The sequence below is a fragment of the Homo sapiens genome, chromosome 1 (genome assembly GCF_000001405.40).
Source record: "Homo sapiens chromosome 1, GRCh38.p14 Primary Assembly".
Taxonomy (NCBI): Eukaryota; Metazoa; Chordata; class Mammalia; order Primates; family Hominidae; genus Homo; species Homo sapiens.
In genome coordinates this window covers 192,829,078-192,853,814 of record NC_000001.11, presented here as the reverse complement: position 1 = coordinate 192,853,814, position 24,737 = coordinate 192,829,078, and the positions used below count along the sequence as shown (strand labels likewise).

Here is a 24,737-nt window from a genome sequence, read left to right as displayed (position 1 = left end):
ATGACCATTTGGCAGCCATGATAATAGTGATTAACTCAGGCAGAAATCACTGATAAATGCTACCATTAATGTGTAAAAGTTTGAGAAATAATAGGATAGTTCCATATTATCAAATTAGCTCCCCATCAAATTTGTATTAATTACAAAGGAGAAAATAGTAATTTTACAGTGGAGAAACCTGGCAGAAAATACCTTAACACAGTGATTAAAGTTGACATCACCAATAATAGGGCAAATCAACATGAGTAGCTCCTGATATGATGCACTAGAAAGATAGGAACATCACTCTGCGATATTCTTCAAAACATGCTTAAAGGTAACCTAATCACAAACATCTGACAAATCCAAATTGTGGGTCATTCATAAAACAAGTGATGTGTATGATTTAAATGTCACTGCCATGAAGGACTGAGGAACAGTTTCAGATAAAAGGAAGCTAAAGAGACATGACAATGGAATCAATGCTTGAGCTGGGATTTGTGTTATTATTATAAAGGACATTAATGGGACATTAGTGAAATCTGAATAAAGTCTGTGGAAAAAAGGTGACAGTATTGAACCAATGTTAATTTTTTGATTTTGATAATTGTGACATGGCTAGATAAGAAATATACTCTGAAGTATTTAGAAGTAAAAGGGCATTACGTCTCAACTTACGATCAAATAGTTAAACAAAATTATACACATATACTGAGAAAGAAAGATGATAAAGCAAATGTAAAATATTAACATTAACATTTGGGTTAAGAGTAAACAGGAATTCTTTGTACTATTCTTGCAGCTTTTCTGTCAGTTGGAAATTTTATCAAAATGTAACTGTGAAAACAGTCACTAGTGTGAATCAATGCTCTCTACAAAGAACTTACACCCAGAAATGGAACTCTTGAAGTCCTTTGGGTCAATCTCTGGAGTTACAGTGTGACAGAATGCATGAGGATCAGGTAGCTGTATTATTCCTTTTCTTTTTGTTCTCTTCCTTAGATATCTTAATATGGTTGTCAATGCCACAGGTTTAAATACTGAGAGATCCCAACCAGAGCTGCACTCTGATTCAAGGACAATTTCAGCTTCCTATTTACAAGTCATTGCCCAGGACAGTGCCTGATATTTTTAGGAACAACTTCCACCTCTCAGAGTTATTTTCAGTTTAATTTTTTTCAGGAGGCAGTCCTGAATTTCAAGTTTTAGGGTATAACTTCCAAATATTGATAATATCTTTACCCTCTCTTCTCCTAGGTGGACTAAATCCATGGCAGCCACAGCCCTAACTAAATTGCTTTATTATTTAAAATTTTGAGTTCCCTATGGGCTAATAATCCTTACTGATTACTGGATTTCTTTGTCCCTGGCCTAGCCTTGGGCATACACAGGACTTCCCCTTCAATAGCATTTATTATAGTCATGTTAGTAATTACATATTACCTGAAAGCAAATGCTTTCAGTGAACACGTTAATGTACCATTCAGCAAGTGCCCTTGAATTATAACAAGGATTTCCATTTTAATAAGGCTTGACTAAAGTGCAGCAGTCTCTGCAAATTATCTAAAGTGGTACAGTACCTGCACTAGAAATTCAGTCATGCCTATGTTAGGGATCAACAGAGGCAAGCTTATTTCCACCCTCATTTCTCTTCCTTAAAAGGAAATAATTACTGGATAATCCACTTTAATAGCAGAGGAAGCAGCAAATTGATTTTTTGACAGGATTACTGAGGAGAATGATGAGGAGTGGGTGGAATTGACTGAGCAAAATGAGAGATGAATGATAATGGCCAAGGATAAGCCAGGATCCTGATAGTGAATGTTGGGCATAAGCTAAAATAACCAAAATACTGTTTTTGAAGTTGTCTGGAGGGAGGAAAACCACATGTAGATGGATTTTCAAACAATTAAATTTAAGACTTTTCTGTGATCGTCATAGAAACCATTCTGTAAAACAAAATGTGGCATATGTCAAATACTACCATGTGGAATATGGGATTTTAGCCTGAAGATTCGGATGGGAAGAATGCTACTTCTTGACAGAGAAAGATTAGAAAATATAGGTGGCAAAGAGAAGGAAAGAGAGTAGGCGGAAGAGAAAGGCTTTGATCTTGCTTTAGTAAAGACTGGGAGGACCAGTCAGGAATAAGGTGGAGAAATAAGAGGGGAAGTTAGGTGGAGGGAGGCTGGAAAGGAGAAAAGCGTTGTAACAACTGGCATTTCAGATAAATGGTTCTCTGAAACCGTTTCTAAATTTGACAGGAGCAACATTCACTGACAGCTTAAAGTCCAGTAAGGGTAAATATTTCAAATATTTCAACCAAGTGGGACAGGTTCTTCTCCCACAAATGGTGGGGAAGGAATCTGCCTGCTTGCCCTTTTTCTCAGAATAAAGAAAGCTATCTTCTTTCTGTTCTTTCCTGAAGTATCTGAGCAGTGACCCTGTTGAGAGGGAGGAACAAGCAGAAATGTCTCTAGCCAGGCTGAGGCAGAGTTATGGCCATTTTTGCTCTCAGAAAATAATGAGTTTCTGCAGAGACTGCTCAGCAGCTGAGAACAGTTGTGTTTTGTTTTGTTTGAGATGGAGTCTCATTCTGTCATCCAGGCTGGAGTGCAGTGGCGTGATCTTGGCTCATTGCAACCACCTCTTCCCAGGTTCAAGCGATTCTCCTGCCTCAGCCTCCTGAGTAGCTGAGATTACAGGCAGGCGCCACCACGCCCTGCTAATTTTCGCATTTTTACTAGATATGGGGTTTCGCCATGTTGGCCAGGCTGAGAAAATTGTTTTTAAGGCTGTTTTGTCAATTCAGTGGCCATGATGCTTTGTTGTAGAGAGACCTGGCTTCAGACTCTGGCTTTGTTTTTATCAGCAAATTTCTTTGTCTTCCTTCCCATTATCAAATTTACAAACCAATGCACATGTGCACCTGTTTTCTACTTCTTTGCCTTACAATACAGAGGCAGTGTTCCTCTTGTGTTAATGGCTATTCTCTGCATTTGAGTTACAGACCCTATTTTCTCTCGCTTTCTCTAGGAATGCACAGTGTTCTTTCAATATTTTCTACGACAGACACTGCTCCTCTCTACTGGGTCTTTTCTATTAGCATGAAGACAGGCCTTAATATCTCCTATGTTGAAAAAGACCTCACTTGCAAACACGTCTCTCCTCGTTTCTCAGCTCCCTTTCATAATCACATCCTTCCTCTCCCCACCTCTCATGTACTCTTCCACCCCCTCCAATCCATATTCTACTATTACTTTTGACAGGATTGCTGAGGAGAATGATGAGGAGTGGGTGGAACTGAAAGGGCAAAATGAGAGATGAGTGATAATGGCCAAGGATTAGCCAGTATCCTGATAGTGAATGTTGGGCATAAGCTAAAATAACCAAAATACTGTTTTTGAAATTATCTGGAGGGAGGAAAACCATATTTAGAAGAATTTTCTCCAATCCATATTCTACTATTACTTCCTAAAGAACTTTTTCGTGTTTGTTAGTGAGTTCTATGTAGCCAAATCCAATAGATGCTCTCTGTCTTTTTTCTCTAAATTCTTGTCAGCATTTGCATCTAGTTGGAATTTTTCTGTACTTGACACATTTTGCAATTCCTTTCCTTCTCTCTCTCTCTTTCTTTCCTTTTTTTTGTTAACATGATTTTTGCCTCTCTATACAATGCAAATGGAAAGGATGACCTTGTGTAGAAGGCAGGGAATGTGCAAGTAACAGAGTGGAACCACATAGCCAGAGTTTGAATCATCGATGTGTTCCCCTTGGTGTTTTTAACTTTTCTTTCTTTCTCTTTTTTTGTTTTTTCTGAGATGAAGTTTCACTCTTGTTGTCCAGGCTGGAGTGCAATGGCACGATCTTGGGTTACTGCAACCTCCGCCTCCCAGGTTCAAGCAATTCTCCTGCCTCAGCCACCCAAGTAGCTGGGATTATAGGCATGCACAACCATGCCCAGCTAATTTTTTGTATTTTTAGTAGAGACAGGGTTTCACCATGTTGGCCAGGCTGGTCTTGAACTCCTGACCTCAGGTGATCCACCCACCTCAGCCTCTCAAAGTGCTGAGATTACAAGTGTGAGCCACCGCGCCCAGCTATTTAACTTTTCTAAACCTCAGTTTTCTAATCTTTAAAACGATAAAACAAACCTCCTAGAGTTGGTGTGAGAAGTATATGAGACTATAAATACAGAGTTATTTGGACTATAAATACAGAGTTATTTGTATAAGGTTTGGTACATAATGAACATTCCACAACTCTTACCTAATAATTTTGCTGTTCACTTTTTATTCCCCAACAGCCAATCCAATGCTTGGAACCCAGTAGGCTCTTATTAATTATTTGTTCAATGATTAAATAAAGGAATAAGTTGTAGACTCAATTTAATTCATACAGTTGTTTTGAGGACAAGTCAAAGCATATATAAAGTGATTAAGACAGTGCCTGGTACACTGGGAGTGCTCAATAAAACCATATTATCATTAGTACTCAGAAAGGCTGCTGATCCAATCAATTAATATGATTAAGAACTATTCTCAGGGCTCTTATTTAAAGCAATCATCATTTTAAATTGTCCACGGGGCCCCAACCCCTCATAATAAAGGACATAAGCTCCTGCAATTGTCTGCCTTTTTTTCATTTTCCTTCCTCTCACTTTCCTGGATCCCCACCAAGAAATAAATTGGCTGAAACAATTTTTATTTTATTTTAGCAATCCTTGCCTTGAATCCTATCTCTCTCCAATTACCATCACATTTCTCTTCTTTTTATTACAATAAAACTATTTAAAGGAGTTGTCCATAATCTCTGTCTCTGGTTTTTCCTCTCTAATTCTCCCTTAAGCTATTCCAATCATACTAGCTTCATATCTCTCCACAGAAACTTCCTTTGTCAAGGTGGTAAATGACTTTACACAATTGTCAAATCAAATGTTAAATTCTGGATCCTTAATGTACCTGACAGATCAGCAGCATTGACAGTTACTTCCTCTTTTTTTTTTTTTTTTTTTGGTAAGTTTTTTACTTGGTTTTCAGGACACTGTTCCATTCATTCCTGATTATTCTTGTGCGTAACTTCTGCCTACTTTTTCTTAGTTTCGCCTTTGCTGGTTCCTCCTCATGTTTCCAACTTCTAAATTTTGTCTCAGTATTAGACTCTCACCTTCTTTATTTTAGTTTCTACATAACTTCAACCAATGCCGTAGCTTTAAATATCCTCTAAAAGCTGACGATTCCCAAGTTTATACTTTCACCTTCAACCTCTCTGCAACTCCATACATACAACTGGCTACTTGGTTTTTTCATTTGGGTATCTATTAGGCATCTCAAATGTAACATGTTCAAATCCATAGTCTTGATCCCAGCTTCCTCTTGCTCCCCCAGTTTTACCTCCTCCCCAGTTTTCCCATCTTGGTATGATGACTCCATCGTTTTTCAGTTGCTTGAACCAAAAACCTTATGCTCATCTTTGATTATTCTATGTGCCTTAGGCCATAAACAAATCTTTCAGGTCTATCTGGAAAAATAGATCATGAATACAACTACTTCTTATCACCTCAAGGGCACTTTCCTTTCTCTGAGCCAGGATCACCTCTGAATGTGATTACTGCAGTAGCTGTCTCTTTAGTCTCCCGGCTTCCCCTTCCTATCTTCCATACAGCTACCAGAATAATCCTTTTAAAATGCCACCTCATTACTCTCCTCAAAACCATCAAATCAGTTTCCATTGAGAGCAAAAGCTAAATAACTTACAAGGCCTGAATGTTCTATAGAATCTTTCTGCCCTTCTCTGGCCCCAGCACCTTTATGAACCTATTCTCCCACCCCTTTCCCTTGCTTGACTCCAATCACAACAGCCAGCTTCCTATATATATAGAACAGTCTAAGGGTAGCCCTGCTCCAGGGGTTTGGCATTGTTGTTCCCTGCCTGGATCTTTTTTTCGCCAGATATATTTACATGGCTCATTCCTCACCTTCTTCAAGTCTCCAGTGTCTCCTTTCTGAGAGGCCTTCTTTAACCATCCAGTATGAAATTGTACTCCCCCCATCACCATCATTATCATCCTTAACCTGTTTATTTTTCTTCATTTTACCCATCACCCACTGACACATGATATATTTGTTTACGGTCACTAGTAAATTCCATGAGAATAGGGACTGTATTCTATTCACCTCTTTACTCCTTGACCCTAGAATGGTAGGCATTAAAAATATTTGCCAAATCAGTAAATGGATTAGTAAATATTTTGATGTTCTACTGACTTCTAAGTTTTTCTACTTAGGTTAAGCTTTTGCTTATTAACAGTAACCTGATAGAAATGACAAATGCTCCCTTTGGTAGAGTGATTTGTATTATAGATAGAAAAATGTTGAATTTTTTGATGTCTCTCAAATTCCCCTAAGTAGGTGACTGTTCCTTTCTTCTATGCATATAACTAGCTCTACCTACTTCCAAAATCCAACTTTATTTATGGTAGATTTTGTTTCAACTTTAAATCACTCTACACATTGCAATGCATTTATATTATTATGGGATGACTCATTACAGGACTTTAAATATTCCCAGGCCCTCCTTTCTCGGCTCCTCCCTGTCACCTACTAATTGACTATTTAAAATGGGCATGGGGAAGAAAATCTTGTTTGAAGGCAGGACTTACTGTGATTCAGAGGTGATAAATGTGCCTTTTGGCTTTTTGTTCTCCCAGAGACACAGTGTAGCTTGTTTAATCTCCTGCTTCGTCAGTGACCAAGTGCAATCTGGTTTCCATTTGAAGCTAGTTGTGCTTCTGATGTGATGATTAGCATATCCATTGAGGGGTCACAGCATCCTCCTAGGAACAGAACAACACTATAAAATATAAAACCTCCCTAGTGACTTTCATTCCAAAGCCGGGCCTATATATGAAAGTTATTTGTACAATTGTGATGATGATCAACAACGATAAAACCAACTTAAATTTCAAACATTTCTTCCTTTTTCTTTATTTTTCCTTTTTATGAACCAGCTGTCTGGACATGAAGTGCCATGTTTGCCCTCAGTTTTTCATGTATATTGCATATTAGATTAAGCCTAAACTCCCACCAAAACCTTATTTAAAAGTTTCAGTATTTTGTGATGTATCAATAATAATAATTTAAAATTTAAAACATGTCTTCCACAGGAAACTTGAAAGTGTTTTTGCTTCTCTTCTTCCAGGAAAATCTTATAATTGAGAGCTAGTGAATACATGCCCTAACACTTTCTAAATGTGTTAGAAATGTTTGGTAGCAACTTAGATGCTACTGCTGATAATAATTACAAACATCATAATTACGACATTTATTTAGTACAACTTGTGTCCACATAGTCATGTGGTGAGCTAATTAGTATGTGAGCATCTTTGTGAATGCCAACTTAACTACCAGATTGCCTTTAAAAATTGGCCAGTTGCGGTGGCTCATGCCTGTAATCCCAGAACTTTGGGAGGCCAAGGTGGGAGGATCACCTGAGGTCAGGAGTTCAAGACCAGCCTGGCCAACATAGTGAAACCCCATCTCTACTAAAAATATAAAAACTAGCCAGGTGTGGTGGTGTGCACCTGTAATCCAGCTACTCAGGAGGCTGAGGAGGAGAATCATTTGAACCCGGGAGACAGAGGCTGCAGTGAGCCAAGATCGCGCCACTGCACTCCGCCACTGCACTCCAGCCTGGGCAACAGAGCAAGACTCCGTCTCAAAATAATAAATAAATAAATAAATAAATCCATAAGAGGTGATACTTCTAATAAAACAAATATAGAGTAGGGTTAACTTTCCTATTCATAAGAGGTCTCTTTACCATCAGCCTTTCCCCCATCTTGATCATCTAGTGTAGGTAGATAAATCTTCTTAAGACATTGTTTACTCATGCTGTGTCACTATTAAAAGCCTTTAATTGTTTTGCATTTCCAATAGATGCTAACTCAATTTTACACACACACACACACACACTGGGTGCCTACTCACTATTTTCTTATAAGAAAAGGCAGTAGGCTAAGCTAGCAGGAAACTACAAGAATAAAAAAGATACAGCTCCTGTCCTCAAATACAGTTTTACAAGGTTGGATAAGGGCAGAATTTGACATCTTTACACTCAATGCCTTTTAAAATCTTACCCTAACCTACTTTTCTAACTTTATCTTCCACTGAATCTTAAATAAATTCTCCACTTAAGACTAAATGTCTACTTATTCTCCCCAATTTGTGCATCCTTGATTCTTACCCAGTTCATATTTTTTCTAACCTATTTTCTCACTTTTTTTCCTGTAATTCCTGCTCAAATTATACCTTGTTCCCTCATCCTAGTCTACACGGATTTCCCCCTTTACTTCGACATCATACACTGCTTTGCTAGTGAAGTTTTTATGCATGTATCTTATCTTCCCAAGTTGACTGTGACCTTCCTAAGGACAGAACTGTGTCTCGTTTATTTTTATATGCCTCACACTGATCCCAGACCATGCTACCTTTGAGGGATTACTTTTCAGATGGTTTGCTCATCACTAACCACATTGTAAAGTGGTACCTTCTGGACCGAACTTCATGATGCAGATAATCTACTCTACAGGCTGAAGACTTTTATTATCCTTACACTTCTCCAATTTCTGGTATATATATAACATATTCTAAAAGTGGTTTGTTCATATTTATTGGTAATATTTACTTTTTACAAAAAGTAAACTTAAGGCTTTTAAAAGCTAATTACTTGGTTTGTATCCTTGCTTCTTAACAGCTATTAGGGCATGTGAATTGTGGCATTTATTATTAAAAAAATGAGCCAGCATTTATAATTTCTGGTAGTGACTGATAATAAGGGGACAAGTTAAAATATGCAACTCTAACAATAAATAAAAATAGTTGGAAAGAAGTTGGGGGATGAGAGAAATTCTTGTCAGTGTGAAGCTTTGTCAGTGTTAAAAGTTGACCACTTTTTTTGATATTCAATAGTTTATGATTTTTTTTCTCTAGCTACACTTTTATCACATTAAAAGAAACCCCTACTTTGCTCTTTAATTCCGCAGGAAAATTTGTTTGAAAATCTTTCAGATGTCAAGATTTGATATAGAAATACATTAATTGCTGTTGTTTCAATTGGGCATTGTGTTACAATAGAAGTTATTCTGTTTTAAAGAGTTGAGTCTGATCCTCCTCTAAACTATGCATTATTGGCAAATGAAACAAAATAAATAAAATTAATCTTTGAGGAGCTGCAGTAAAACAAAATCCTTCTAATATAAATAACACTAGAACAGAATGTGCCTGTTAAAACAATAACAACAAGAACAGCCAGACGCCTGCAATTCCAGCACTTTGGGAGGCTGAGGCAGGAGAACTGCATGAGTCCAGTAGTTTGAGACCAGTCTGGGCAACATAGTGAGACTCCATCTCTACAACAAATGAAAAATTAGCCAGGCATGGTGGTGCACACCTGTAGTCCCAGTTACTCAGGAGGCTGAGGCAGGAGGATTGCTTTAGCCCAGGAGGTCGAGGCTGCAATAAGTCGTGATTGCACCACTGCACTCCAGCCTGGGTAACAGAGTGAGACCCTGTCTCAAAAAATAAATGAATAAAATATCAACAACAACAGAACTGAACTGACCACAGTCATTCACAGCCAACCGAAAAATTCCTTTTCATGTTTCAGCAGGATTCCTACTCTATTGTATAAGGTGTTTAACAATAGAAGCAATGAAATCATATGGAAATTCTTACTGTTACTCAAGACACTTCCTATAACAGTATTAGCTGGCCAACATATAGATTTACAATTTACATACTGTTTTCTTGAATTTATTTGATCAAAAGAGGAATCGGTGACATAAGGAGATGGAAAAATATGAGCTGATTTTATAAAAAATAATTTTTAGGTTGTAATTATTCATTTAGTTGTCATGGTAAAATATTTTGTAGTAGTCCTAATTATGTCTTCACAAATACCTTATTTCCTCAACTAGATCATAAACTCATTGAAAGCTTTCCACAAATTTTATTTTTTTGCATTTATCTTATGTATAGAAAAGAAATTTTTATGTGTTCTGTGCTTAATAAATGTGTTTTGCATTTTTATTAAGAAAGGAGATGTGGGGCTTAAAGTATGATTTATGTACTACTTGGATTAGCAATTTACAGAAAATAAGAACATAGTAAAATATACTCTAAGTCTATTTTTAGCATATTTCAATAGATACCTCAGAGCCTAATCTAGATGCTAGAGAACGATGTTATTTTATTTTGTAAATGCACATGTACTAGCTAATAAAAGGCTCAAATTAACAGCACAGTAAATTAGATTGATTTTATCATGTACATAAACTGATGACTAATATATAAGCTTTTGTTATATAGGCAAATTTATCACAGTACAAGAAGTAAATCACAGGAGAATTAAATTAGGCAAATGAGTAGAAAACAAGTTAAAAAAAGTATATTAATAAAATGATCTGTGAGAGTTTTTTGGTAAAAATACCAGGGTGACTTAAAATTTAACAACTTCTAGAAACTTTTCCCTTTTATACTTTTTAAAAAAGGCAATATAGCACTAAACAGAGAGTGAGAGAAAATGTTTTATTTCCAAAAAAACTTTTTTAAAAAGTCCAATTTCTTGGCTATTTCTTTTTTAAAGCAAATGTAAATTATGAGGAACAAGAAGCTTTGAATAATGAGTCTTTGATATTGCATTACTGTACATTTAATAATTTAACACTGATAAGCTATTTAGAAGGCAACAACTTTATTTACAACTTTATTTTCTTAATGGCTATGATTTATATTACCCTTTCCTTTTGAATTTGCTGAAAGTTTATAATAACCATTGTGTGAATGTGTATAAAATTATAGACTCAAAATTTTTTAGAAACCTCCTTAAAAACCTCTTGGCAAATCTATTTCCCACCATAGCAATTCACAGCAACATGGCTTAACATAGCCCCTTAGCTATTGCACATACATTTGGAGCATCAAGCTTAGTGTTTTATAGACGATTCTTAATTTGGCAGTAAATGTCCCACATTCTATGCAATCCCACAATTGGTCTGTATTCTGCCCTGTAAAATCTGTTTTGCCCTTTGAATCAACCTCCCTCCCCACTCGCTTTTGTTCTGTTAAAATTTCTAGTTTCCCCCCAACAAAAACTCACATAGTTTTTTTTGGCTGTCAACCATCATTCTAGTAGATTTGTTTTATACTCCTTCAGTTTCTCAGGAGTGTCCTTCTTAAAGTTTTTGACTCCTGGAACTGAACACACTTCTGGGGGTGATATAAGCAACATGTTGATCTCATACCTTTCTTATTCTGAACATGAATTTTCTGGTAACACAGCCAACAGGACATTTGTTTTTAGCATCTACCTAACACTAATGCTTACATTAATCTTAATTAAATCACAGATCCATATCTCATTAACTATTAACCTGGTTCTTATGCAACCTGAGCTTGTGAAGTGCATATTTTGAAACTCAATTGCACAGTTTTACAAATACATTTTTTTGGATTTCATGTTGCCAGGATTGTTCTTAAGTCTTCTACATTTAGTCTTAGCATCTCTTCTTTCCGGTGCATCCTTACGGACTGCTGCCAGACTTGATATTTCCATTCTGTTTATGTAAGTCCTCTGCCCAAAAAACAAGGTAAGTCAAACATTTTGGCCTGGCATTCAAAATCCTGTGTAATAAGGCACTTTAGTAGCTCCAAAGTGCTTATGGAGAAAGCATGGCAGTGTGGACAGAGCATCTGTCAAATAGGCAGCAGGTCTAGTTTCTAGTCCGACTCTGATACTTGTTGTTTGCTAACTTAGAAAGTCACTCAGACTCAATTTCCTTAACTGTATTAAAATGAGAACAAAAGCAACCCATCTACCTACTTCAAAGTTTTGTGCATGTTAGGAAAGATAATGCATGTGGAAATGAAGGCCTATAAAACTGCAAGTTGCTGATAATACAGAGAATGCCAAGCCCCTATCATGCTGTTGAAAGTCTTTTATGTTCTCATCCTGACCTACTTTCCAATCTTGTTTTCTGCTTCTTGCTGCTGCATCCTTACCTGAACATTTAAATGCTTTTTATTTCTCACTAGTCCCTAAACACTTTCATATATTGATGCTTCTATGTGTTTGCTAAAACTGCCTGGAATATTTGCCCTAAACTTACTAGCTCTTTTTCTCTCTCCCTTACTTCCACTGGGAGAACTCCTACCCCTAATTCAAGGCCAAACTCAAATGCCATCTCTTTCTTAAAGACTTGATTTCCTTAGTCAGAATTAATATCTTCCTTCCTAATATTCCTATAGAAGTCAATCTATAACCTCAATATTTTATTTTCGTATCCTATCCTATATTCCAGGCAATTTTATTCCCATTCATTTGCCCAACATGAGGGGCAGTTGCATGTCTTACATACTCTATATTTTCGCAGTACTCAGAATTGTGCTTTCTTGTTATTGCCATTTTTATAAGATTGAGGTGTAGGCAAGGCAGAGAGGTCAAGTCATTTGCTAAACTTAAGTTATCTTAAAAAGAAGCAAGAAGATGCTTGTCTGTCTGATTTCAAATCTTGGGCTTTTTCTACAGTGCCTTACAGGCTTCTCCACCTCCATCTTGAGGACTCTCAGTAAATGTTTGCTAATATGAATTAACACTCAACTTATTTTTTTCCTGAGCCTCATCTTCCTCCTTTAGTGATCCTTTTAGGGAATTGTATATCTTTGCTCTGGAATTTTGAAATATACTTTCATGTCATCTGGAGAGCATCGTTTACTGTATCCATGTTGACCATCTTTTGCTTTTAAGGTTAAAGTGGTATTGTTTTTCTCTCTTAGGATTTTTATAATTTTCACATCCCCAGTGAGATAGTTCTTGCTGATCAGAATAAATCTAGATTATCAACTACTCAATGTTTCCTATAACTTCTTATTTTATTTATTTATTTAATTAATTAATTTATTTTATTATACTTTAAGTTCTAGGGCACATGTGCACAACGTGCAGGTTTATTACATATGTATACATGTGCCATGTTGGTGTGCTTGCACCCATTAACTAGTCATTTACATTAGGTGTATATCCTAATGCTATCCCTCCCCCACTCCCTTAACTTCTAAAGTATGACATTCAGTATCACATGTTCTGTTCTGATGAAAATCATGTTAAAAGTCTGCTGGTACTGAAGCAATGCCCAGTGCATGCTTGGAACACATCCCTGGGAGCTCTCCTTCACTCTGCTTGCTTGCTTACCTTGGACTGATTTTCCTGGATTGAACCTTTTCCAAATTATCCCTGCTTCTGATGTCTTACCAGTTCCATGCCATGAGGTAGCCAGATGCAGAATTTAGTTCAGCTCAGGTCTTGGGGTATTTATAACCCTATGCTTTTTACAACTAATCCATAGTTTTGAATCTGTGCCTGATAGACATATAATGAATTCTAGGGGTCTTTGACTTAATAGTAGTGCCCCAAATTGATATTTATTGAATGCTTATTCTGTGTCAGGCACTGGGTTAAGGTCTTACATATATTGTCTCTTTTCAGGTCAGAGTGCTGAAAGTATTCCCTCCTCAACAGGTGAGAAAGCGAGGCTTATAAAGGTTAATTGACTTGCTTAAGGAGTGATAGGGCTTGATTCTAAGCCTGTCTTGTGCCAAAACCCATAGCCTTGGGCAGGACCTCATCGTTTCTGTCTTTTCCCACCTGACAGCTAATCATGAACTGGCACTTATACCTATGCTACTGAAAATCATTTATTGTTTACATTCAATTTATATGTACCTGTATATTTGAATTGTACATAGGTGGTGTAAACCAAAAGTAAATTTCTAAGCCCCCCAACGGACTGAATGGACCCCTCTCTTGGCCAAGGGGATTCCAGGATTCCAAAAAAAAAACCTGAAAAGGGACCCAGGAGGTAGAGGTTGCAGTGCGCTGAGGTCGCACCACTGCACTCCAGCCTGGGCTACAGAGCGAGACTCCGTCTCAAACAAAACAAAACAAAACAAAACACCTGAAAAACTAGTTCGAGTCATGAGAGTAAAAGGGAGGAGATAGGTCTTGCCTCATTATACCCTCTCCCTGTTGTAGTTTAGACACAACTGACTAGCGTTAACATTAAAATAGAGATCCCAAGACTGACAGAACCGACTCTTTACAGCAATAAGATAGCAAATCCAACCTGACTCTAGTATCACATGACGTAACAGGCCCTAAAGGACATCAAAGTATTTTAACACAAAATATATGTCTTTGGCATATTTTGGAGTGGGCTTGCAAAGCTGTCTTTTATGAGAAAAATTTACATCCTGTAGAGAATCCTCTTTCCTTACTAGGATTTTCCCTGATCCAGGAGAGATTTAACTAAGAGTCTGACATGTTTTAAGGTCTGATAACCTATACTTACCATCTGTTCTCTCTGAAGCCTTCTACCTGGAGGCTTCATTTACATAACAAGAACCTTGGCTTCCACAAACCCCCATATCTTAACCTCAAGCATTTCTTTCTGCTGACTTCAGCAATTTAGGAAAGGCTTAACTCTTTTAATCCATTGCCTATCAGAAAATCTTTGAATCTACTTATGACCTGGAATCCTCTCTCTCTTCCCCCTTTTGAGATGTCCCACCTTTCTGGGCCAAACAGATATATACCACCTTAGGGGTATTAATTTATGTCTTTACCTGTAACTTCTGTCTCCCTAAAATGTATAAAATCAACCTGAAACCCGACCACCTTGGGTACATATTCCTAGGACCTCTTCAGGCTGTGTCACAGGTTGTGGTCCTCACAGATACCTCAGAATAAACCTCTTCAAATATTTTACAGAGTTTGCCTTTTTCTAATCAACAGTGACTTTTGTATTTTTCTCATAACAATAAGTATTATACTAATAATATGCAAATTATTCAATAAACAATAAAAATACTTGCAGTTATTTTTTAACCCTGGACTTTAATATTCATAAAAAGCATTGGTATACAGCATGAGTTTTATAATAATAATAGATAACACATAAAGAGTGTTTTCTAGATGGTAGATATTGTTTAAAGTGCTTTTCATGTATTATTTCATTTATCTTCTCAACCCAGCAAAACATGGTTATTATTCTTTTGTTTTTAAGTTAAGGAAACAGAGGTGCAGAGATAGGTGTCTTTTGCCCTAGAGCCTAGCTATCCATGAACCAGCGGCATCCGTATCACCTGGGAACTTGTTAGAAACGCAGATTCTCAAGCCGCACCCTACACCCCACACCCACAAAATCAGAATATGCAAATAACAATATTCTTAGGTATTCATACGCACATTAAAGTTAGAGATACACTAACCTAAATCACACAGCTATGAGACTTTGAAACCAGAATTCTCAAACACTACAGGAGGTTGTCTTAATCTCAGAATGAAAAAATATTTCTGAATGAGAGATATTTTATATGCCAATGGATTATGTGAAACGTAAGTAGGATTTTGCTTTTATAAATTATACTTAATGAAAATATTTCTCATAAATTACTTTTGTATTTGGTGACTTACCATAATCTAACTTTATTATTCTACTCTCCTCCTTCCCTTTTTAAATTCATTCTTTAAACATTCACTCATTTATTCCATAGGCATTTGTAGAGTGCCTAATATTGTCAAGCATTTTTTTTAGATGTGGGGAAACAAAGAAGAATTATATACAATTCCTGATCTTAAGACATTTAGTGGCATTGGAAGACGGACAATTACAAGTTTAAATGACTGACGTCGTAAAGTTACATACACAGTGCACAGGCAAGATAGCAGAAAAGATGTCTTAGTTGAGGTTCTACTGAAGCAGACCCTGAGATTCAAATGCAAGTAGTGCTTTTGGTAAGTAAAGGAAATGCCAATAGGAGGGTAGTTAAGGAAGATGGGAAAGGGAGAGTGGACAATGCAGGACATTATCAAGCCAGCTACTATGGATGACTAGAATCAAACCCCACTGGAGGGCTTGGGGGAGTCTGTATAAAAAACAAGCCCCAGACTTGTTTTCTATCCAACGGGTATATTTATACCTGAACTTCCATTAGTCGTAGGTTGAAGTTGCTCCCGGGAGTATTCCTTTGGACCAATTTGGGCTTGCTCCACAGGCAAACGACATGTGTCCTTGGGCAAAGAAATGCAGATACCAGGCCGGGCGCGGTGGCTCACGCCTGTAATCCCAGCACTTTGGGAGGCCAAGGCGGGTGGATCACGAGGTCAGGAGATCGAGACCATCCTGGCTAACACGGTGAAACCCCGTCTCTACTAAAAATACAAAAAATTAGCCGGGCGTGGTAGCGGGCGCCTGTAGTCCCAGCTACTCGGGAGGCTGAGGCAGGAGAATGGCGTGAACCCAAGAGGCAGAGGTTGCAGTGAGCTGAGATTGCACCACTGCACTCCAGCCTGTGTGACAGAGTGAGACTCTGTCTCAAAAAAAAAAAAGAAAAGTCCTCTACAATCTTACAGTCTAAAAGGAGTTGAGACATTTAGGATGAAAAATTTGGGCCCTACATTATCCATTCTTCCTCTTAACTACCATATAAAAACGTGCTAGATATTGACACCTGCAGCCAGTTCCAAGGATTGTCAGAGCCACACATTCCTAATCACCTCAGATTGGGAATGGCCTCAGGGTACACCCAATGGTCCAGACCAAATAATAGAATTTTATAAGTGTGCCATGATGTGAAAAATGTTGGGAAACATTTTTGTAATGTATGCTTAAAGTCAACATCATTCATTCATTAACAAATACTTATTGAAGTCTGCCTCTATTCTTTTTTTTTTTTTGAGATGGAGCCTTGCTCTGTCACCCAGACTGGAGTGCAGTGGCACGATCTTGGCTCACTGCAACCTCTGCCTCCTGGGTTCAAGCAATTCTCCTGTCTCAGCATCCCAAATAGCTGGGACTACAGGCGTAGGCCACCATGCCCAGCTAATTTTTGAGACTCCGTCTCAAAAAAAAAAAAAAAATGGTGTCCTCTCAGGGAACACGCATGGAAATAACTGTGATGATGCAGTAAGATGTGCTAACTGGCCTTGGGCAAAGTGTTTCTGGAGCAAAAAAGATGCTCAGAGGGTTTTGGCCAAGTGCTGAGGAAGAAATCTTTCTCTTGCTTCTTTCTTTGAAGTCCTGGATTTGATATTTTGTTCCTTTTTATATACATTTTCAATTTTAGAAGAAAATTTATGCTATAAATGTTTCATGTGACAAATATCATGCAAAACATGTTGTAAGGAGTAGAAAACTGCATGGTCTTCTTAGCCATCCCTTCTCTGGGAACTGCCCCATGGTCCATCCCACCATACATACGTCACAAAAGTGAACTTTTTGGAGTCATTCTGTAAAATATAACTCTACCTCATGATGAGGGACAATCACCAGATCCAAATTCAATTCGAATCTCTTTCATAGAATTCTACTACTAAGACCCACAGAATGAGATTCATTTTCTCTGAGAACTGGACATTTGTCTAATCAGGAGCCTTAGAAGTCTTACACTGCCATGTGGATTTAAGGATAAAGGAGACCAATTCAAACACAGAAGAGACCGTATACCAATGGAGAAGGAGAAACAAAGGATGGAGAGAAAGTTTCGGTGACCTTTGTACCCCTGGTTCCAGATCCTTCTGGTAGCATTCATACTCTTAAGCCTAAGTGATTTTTGGGAAGCCTTATAATAAAGTGCCATTTTCTGCTTAGGCTAATTAGAAATGGTTTCTGCAATTAAAAAAAATATCCTAAATAACTTGCAATGGGCATCTGTTGCTTACTCCTCAGAATTCTCCCTTGACTTCCACCCGCCTGCCTTCCCCTCTTCTACCAGCATCCAGCTATTTCTTTTGGGAAACTTCTTTAACATTCTTACCCATTTTAGGCCTGACTTCACCTTCAGGACCAGGGAGGGTCCTCATTGCCCATCTTCAAAGCCCCTTACTCTTTACTTATAGTAATTGGTTTAAGAGTGGGCCTGTGACTGTCTCCCTCCCTTTCTTCTTAACTGGATGAGGTAAGATGTCAAGTAAGAGATTTTGGAAAAATACTCCCGTTCTCTTTTGAAAGAGTGACTAGGAGAAACTTTCTCATTTCTTACAGAAAATGTGGCATGAGGACGTTAGGTCTGGAACTCCTGCAGGTCTTTCTTTTGGAAAGGAAGCTAGAAAGAGGACAAAGCTGACTCAGAAGGAGGGCGGAGCTGAGAGCACATGGAGAAACAGACATGGTGGACTTCTGGAAGTCAACATTGTTTCTGTACATCTATTTTTTCCTTTATTTCTTTTTGTTTGTTTGTTTAAGAAATTTGAATCAGATTTACTCTTATTTCTAATCAAAAGCATCATAACCAACATAATTTTTTTTTTTCTAACATCTTGGGGCCTAAAATCCCTCTGGCTTATGGACTCTGGGTTTATAAATTTAATCACCTCTGGGCTGCTCTTTGTGAAATGTTGGTCTTCTAGTGTTGCTCTTACTTACACAGCACAGTGAGACTCCATTTGACAGGTCACGATTACAAATGAGGAACAGAATGTTAGAGATGAGGGGAGAGAATGAGATGTGCTCTTTTGATCAGGGATATCCTAATACAGTGTTCTGTACTCAGGAATTGGAGTGACCTTAGAAACGTTAGTTTTTAGGACACTATTTTTTTGTGAATACTTTTGACTAATATTTTTAGATTTTTAGGCTTTCATTAAGGATTGGAAAGCTTCTGGCGAGGCGTGTTGTAAACTTCCCTCTCCTGAAGCAGGCCACGTCTCCATACATTGTTAAATGATAGTCTTTAACTTAGACAAGTATTTGTTGTAAAAAGGAGTGATAAAATTTTCTGACAACTTAAGATCAAACTGTCCCTCTGGAAGTACAGATATTCTATAATTGAGCTTGTCTTCCTAGCTAGCCAGTTGCATCTGAGAAAATATGAGAGTGAATTATGTGTTTCTTTGTTAGCACCAAGCATTGCATTTTTATTTTTCTGCTGGAGGAGTCAGAATTCTCATATTTCCTGTAAATGTAGACAAGTTAAAATTCTCCTCCCTTTCATTCCTCCTTTTCCTTCTTCTCTTTCTCCTTTTTCCTCTTTCTGCCTTTCTCATTATAATGAACTCAAAGAATATTTTTACTGGAGACATCAATCTCTCTTTAAACTTCTCATGATAAAACCAATGAATTGACTGCAAACTCATCCAGCCAAATATTTATTTATGTTTAACTCAAATTACCAGATAACTGTGAATAAAATAACAAACCTAAATTATCTGCTTACTGGCTTCTCTATTTCATGTTTTAGGCATCTGGCCTTTTATGAAAAAGCTATTTTTAGATTTCCAAGCCACATGATCATAAATATTAGCTGACTTTTCTCTCCTTGGAAGATAATTTGGACAAACATGTTTTAACTATTTTCTAGACTGTGTGTTCTTTTATTACAGTATCCTTCTGTGTATTAGCACCTCAACTACTTGACAAGACATGTTCTTAGTATTACTAGTTAAAAGCAGGTCTGAGCAACATTTTTTTACATAATGACATTTAGAAGTCACACTCCAGACAATAACTTTTTTAGTTTTTTTTTTTTTTTTTGAGGTGGAGTCTCACTCTGTCACCCAGGCTGGAATGCAGTGGTGCAATCTCGGCTCACTGCATCCTCTGCCTTCCAGGTTCAAGCGATTCTCCTGCCTCAGCCTCATAAGTAGCTAGGACTACAGATGCACACCACCAAGCCCAGCTAATGTTTGTATTTTTAGTAGAGACAGGGTTTTGCCATGTTAGCCAGGCTGGTCTTGAACTCCTGACCTCAGGTGATCCACCTACCTCAGCCTCCCAAAGTGCTGAGATTACGGGTGTGAGCCACCGAGCCCGGCCAAACAATAGCTTCTTAGAGTGCTGTGATCTACAAGACTTGTGACTGAAATAATCAAGTTTAGAAAAGAATCCGAAGATGTAGTGTTCTTTTATAATACATTAAATGAGAGCTGAATACAGTTGTCAAAGACATGGAAATAGGGCTACTGCACAGAAGGGTTTAGTTGTTAGCCCAAGGTCACACAGCAAGTAAGTGATGGAGCAAGAGTTTAAGCTCAGGTCCTCCTAGCCTATAGTCTAGGTCCTTAACCAGAAGAAGAATAATTTAATAATTGCAAAGACTCATTGAGCATTTCTTTTTCTTTTCTTTTTTTTTTTTTTTTTTTTTTTTGAGACGGAGTCTTGCTCTGTCACCCAGGCTGGAGTGCAGTGGTACGATCTCGGCTCACTGCAACCTCCACCTCCCAGGTTCAAACGATTCTCCTGCCTCAGCCTTCCGAGTAGCTGGGATTACAGATGTGCACCACCATGGCTAATTTTTGTATTTTTAGTAGAGATAAAGTTTCACCATATTGTCCAGGCTGGCCTTGAACTCCTGACCTTGTGATCTGACCGCCTCGGCCTCCCAAAGTGCTGGGATTACAGGTGTGAGCCGCTGTGCCTGGCCCTCACTGAGCATTTCTTATGAGCCAGGCACAGCCTCACACGCAGTAATTTGGCAGTCTCTTACTTTCCAGTGAGATTCTTGAGAGTAGAAATAATTTTATTTTTGTGTGTTTTGTGCCTGGACAGTGTGACATCGCAATAGCTGTTAGTTTAAATGGACCCTCACGGGCCTGCAAGACAGGGTGGGATTTTGACGGAAGGGAGGCTGAGGGCGGGAGTTTGGGTGGTGGGGAGAGGACCTGTTGTTGTGGGGAAGAGAATTGGAGGTTTTTTGTAAGAATAACTGCCAGATAACGCTGCTGGCTTTGTTCCACGTCAAGGTGCTCATACTTCACAGATTGCTGCAGAAGTTGGATGCCTTCTCCCCTTCTTCCATAACAAATCCCTTGATTTTTTTTTTTTTTTTTTGAACAGCAGCAAGATTTATTGCAGAGTGAAAAAACAAAGCCTCCACAGTGTGGAAGGGGACCTGAGCAGGTTGCCCTTTTTTTTTTTTAATCCCTTGATTTTTTATCTGGTCACAGCTGCAGAAGTGGTGTATGTGACTTCCAGGGAATGTTCTTAAAGAGTAGAAACTTGCCTTTCTTTTCTGCTTCTGCCCCCCTGCCTGGAATGGGGACTGAAAAACTGGAGCTCTAGGAACCATTGTGTACTAAGAGAGAATCTTTGGAATGAGTCAGTAAGGTAGGTCCTGATATGAAGGGCCATGCCTGTCTTGGAATGAAGATCTTTGGATCCTTGAATGTGAAAGTAAAGGAAATTTCTCTCTTGTTTAAATCATATTGATGACTTATTTTGTTTGCTACTCATAGCTGAAATACATCCTAACTAATCCATGTGTATCATTTAATGTGATCCTGAAAATGACCCTCTGAGGTAAGCACTATGATGATCTCCATTGACGGGGGAAGAAAATGAGGCCCAGAGAACCTAAGTCACTTTCTTGGGGTCACATAGCTAGTGAATGGTAAAGCTGGGATTCTAACACCCCTTCTTTAGCACTATACTATATTCACCATATATAAGTTGAACTGGACAAAAGAACCCTACTGGTCTTATGTCTGTATTTAGGACACAAGAACCCTGCTGGTCTTATGTCCATAGTTAGGACACCTTTCTAATAAGACTAAATGATGAATCTGACTCTTTAGTGGCCTGTTTAGTAAATGTGGATTGTTCAGTGCAAAGCCGTTGCATAATCAGATTCCTGGTAGAGAATACATGATGTTTTGGTTAGGATGTTTTTTGATGTCAAGTTACTGAAAATTCAACTTAAATTGGCTTGACTAATTAAAAAATTTGTTAGCTCACATTAAAGGAGATTCAGATGTAGGGTGGTCTTCAGGGTTGGTTGATTCAGCAGCTAAATGATGTTATCAAGAAAAAAGGTTCTTTTCACCTCTGCTCCATGACCCATAGCATCAGCGTCATCTGTAAGTCGGTTTTCCTTGTGGTAACAAGGAGGCTGGTTGTAGCAACCAGGATTACTCACTGTCTTATTCACATCTAGCAGAAAGAGAAAGACATCTCCTGTCGTTCTTTTACAATTAAGGTAGAACTTTCCCAGAAGCTTCCTGCCGACCTTCTCCTGTCCAGTTGGTTGTAGGTGTGGTCTCAAGGGGGACATCAATACATAAATGGTAATTGGCACCATGGGGGTGGGTGAGGTGCAGGGCTGCCTGCTGGCAAGCACATTAATTGTAATGTTTAGAAAAGGACTCTCCCTCTGGACCAAATAATTTGAAATTGCCCTACATCCCTTTTTCCCCTAAGATTGGCCCTGCTCTTGCATTAGGACTCCAGTGGTGAATAACTCCCCTCCCCCCTTGACCAGGTGTCTCCATACAGGAAACTCCCTTCATAACGATATGTGGCAACAGGGATGAGATGGTCCTGCGGAGTGGCAGACTGAGAAAAGAAGAGGGCTTTGGGAAGAACCCCAAGGACCACATCTTTTCACAGCCTGGTATCCAGAACTGTAGAGATGCTTCAGCCATGACAGGTCCACAGCAGAGTGAGCCTATCACTTCCTGAATCCTAAATACCCAGTCTCTGTTAACACAGCCTGATACTGCATCAGATTTTGGAGGATGACAAAAAGCTGTCAATTTATGCTAACTTGAACTCCTACGTGTTTTTCATATAGGCTACTTCTCAGATATATACCAATCAGGCTTGCTGTATGGAGGGCCATGTCTATTCTTATTACATAGTCCTCTGTCTCTCTGAAGCAGTGGAATGCATGAAGTGCAGTTAATTCTCCCCAAGCCCTGCTGTGAGGACTCGGCCCACCTCCTTTACCCTCTCCTCCAATGTGCTCTACCTTCCAGGACTCAGTACTTCTCTACCAGGCTCCTCAAGTGCATTATTTTCTTCCTTCCGTCCCTCCCTCCCTTCCTCCCTCCCTCCCTCCCTCCCTCCTTCCCTCCCTCCCTTCCTTCCTTCCTCTTTCTTTCCTTTTCTTCTTTCTCGATTTTTCATGAAGAAGGAAGAGTGTGGGTGAGAAGGGTTGCAGTCTCTGCCTGTGTCTGTAGAGAGAGGTAACTGAGGGGAGTACTGGGGAATAGTATCCTAGCAACCTCAGAAAACAGTACGCTGGTTTCCGTGCTGAAAGGCAGGCACAAAGAAAATCTCTACTTCTCTGCAGGCAGTTTTCTTCTTTTTCAGGTTATAAACCATGTATCATCAAAAGACTGTGATTCCTAAATCAGCTGCATGGGGCATTAGAATAGCAGAATTTCCTCTCAGAAGCTTGTAATAAATTGCCTGTCAATCATAGGTTTTAGTGTTTTGCATTATTATTATTATTATTATTATTATACTTTAAGTTCTGGGATACATGTGTAGAACGTGCAGGTTTGTTACATAGGTATACACATGCCATGGTGGTTTGCTGCACCCATCAACCTGTCATCTACATTAGGTATTTCTCCTAATGCTATCCCTCCCCTAGCTCCCCACTGCCCAACAGGCCCAGCGTGTGATGTTCCCCTCCCTGTGTCCATGTATTCTCATTGTTCAACTCCCACTTATGAGTGAGAACACGTGGTGTTTGGTTTTCTGTTCCTGTGTTAGTTTGCTGAGAATGATGGTTTCCAGTTTCATCCATGTCCCTGAAAAGGACATGAACTCATCCTTTTTTATGGCCACATAGTATTCCATGGGGTATATGTGCCACATTTTCATTTTCCAGTCTATTATTGATGGGCATTTGGATTGGTTCCAAGTCTTTGCTATTGTGAACAGTACTGAAATAAACATACATGTGCATGTTTCTTTATAGTAGAATGATTTAAAATCCTTTGGGTATATACCCAGTAATGGGATTGCTGGGTCAAATGGTATTTCTGGTTCTAGATCCTTGAGGAATTGCCACACTGTCTTCCACAATGGTTGAACGAATTTACACTCCCAGCAACAGTGTAAAAGCATTTCTATTTCTTCACATCCTCTCCAGCATCTGTTGTTTCCTGACTCTTTAATGATCGCCATTCTAACTGGCATGAGATGGTATCTCACTGTGGTTTTGATTTGCATTTCTCTAATGACCAATGATGATGAGCTTTTTTCCATATGGTTGTTGGCCACATAAATGTCTTGTTTTGAGAAGTGTCTGTTCATATCCTTTGCCCACTTTTTGATGGGGTTGTTTGTTTTTTTCTTGTAAATTTGTTTAAGTTCCTTGTGGATTCTGGATATTAGCCCTTTGTCAGATGGGTAGATTGCAAAAATTTTTTCCCATTCTATACGTTGCCTGTTCACTCTGATGATAGTTTGTTTTGCTGTGCAGAAGGGTTTTAGTTTAATTAGATCCCATTTGTCTATTTTGGCCATTGTTGCCATTTCTTTTGGTGTTTTAGTCATGAAGTCTTTGCCCATGCCTATGTCCTCAATGATGTTGCCTAGGTTTTCTTCTAGGGTTTTTATGGTTTTAGGTCTTACGTTTAAGTCTTTAATCAATCTTGAGTTAATTTTTGTATAAGGTGTAAGGAATGGATCCAGTTTCAGTTTTCTGCATATGGCTAACCAGTTTTCCCAACACTATTTATTAAATAGGGAATCCTTTCCCCATTGCTTGTTTTGGTCAGGTTTGTCAAAGATCAGATGGTTGTAGATGTGTGGCATTATTTCTGATGCCTCTGTTCCGTTCCATTGGTCTATATATCTGTTTTGGTACCAGTACCATGCTGTTTTTGGTTACTATAGCCTTGTAGTGTAGTTTGAAGTCAGGTAGCATGATGCCTCCAGCTTTGTTCTTTTTGCTTAGGATCGTCTTGGCTATATG

At 38.5% G+C, this 24,737-nt stretch overlaps 2 long non-coding RNA genes across 2 annotated transcripts in view; one reads left to right on the top strand and one right to left on the bottom strand.

Moving 5' to 3' along the window:
• The window catches only part of LOC105371668 (uncharacterized), a 32,219-nt gene extending 10,252 nt beyond the window's left edge, over nucleotides 1–21,967 (bottom strand). Inside the window, exons 1-2 of the long non-coding RNA XR_922387.3 lie at nucleotides 21,764–21,967; nucleotides 6,641–6,814 (exon numbers count right to left, since the gene is read on the bottom strand). This is a non-coding gene — a long non-coding RNA (uncharacterized LOC105371668). The remainder of the gene's footprint in view (nucleotides 1–6,640; nucleotides 6,815–21,763) is intronic.
• On the top strand, nucleotides 789–18,690 carry LOC105371667 (uncharacterized). Its single transcript, XR_922386.2, has 3 exons — nucleotides 789–941; nucleotides 15,629–15,828; nucleotides 17,396–18,690. It is a non-coding gene; the product is annotated as an uncharacterized LOC105371667 (long non-coding RNA).
• Nucleotides 21,968–24,737: the final 2,770 nt, after the last annotated feature.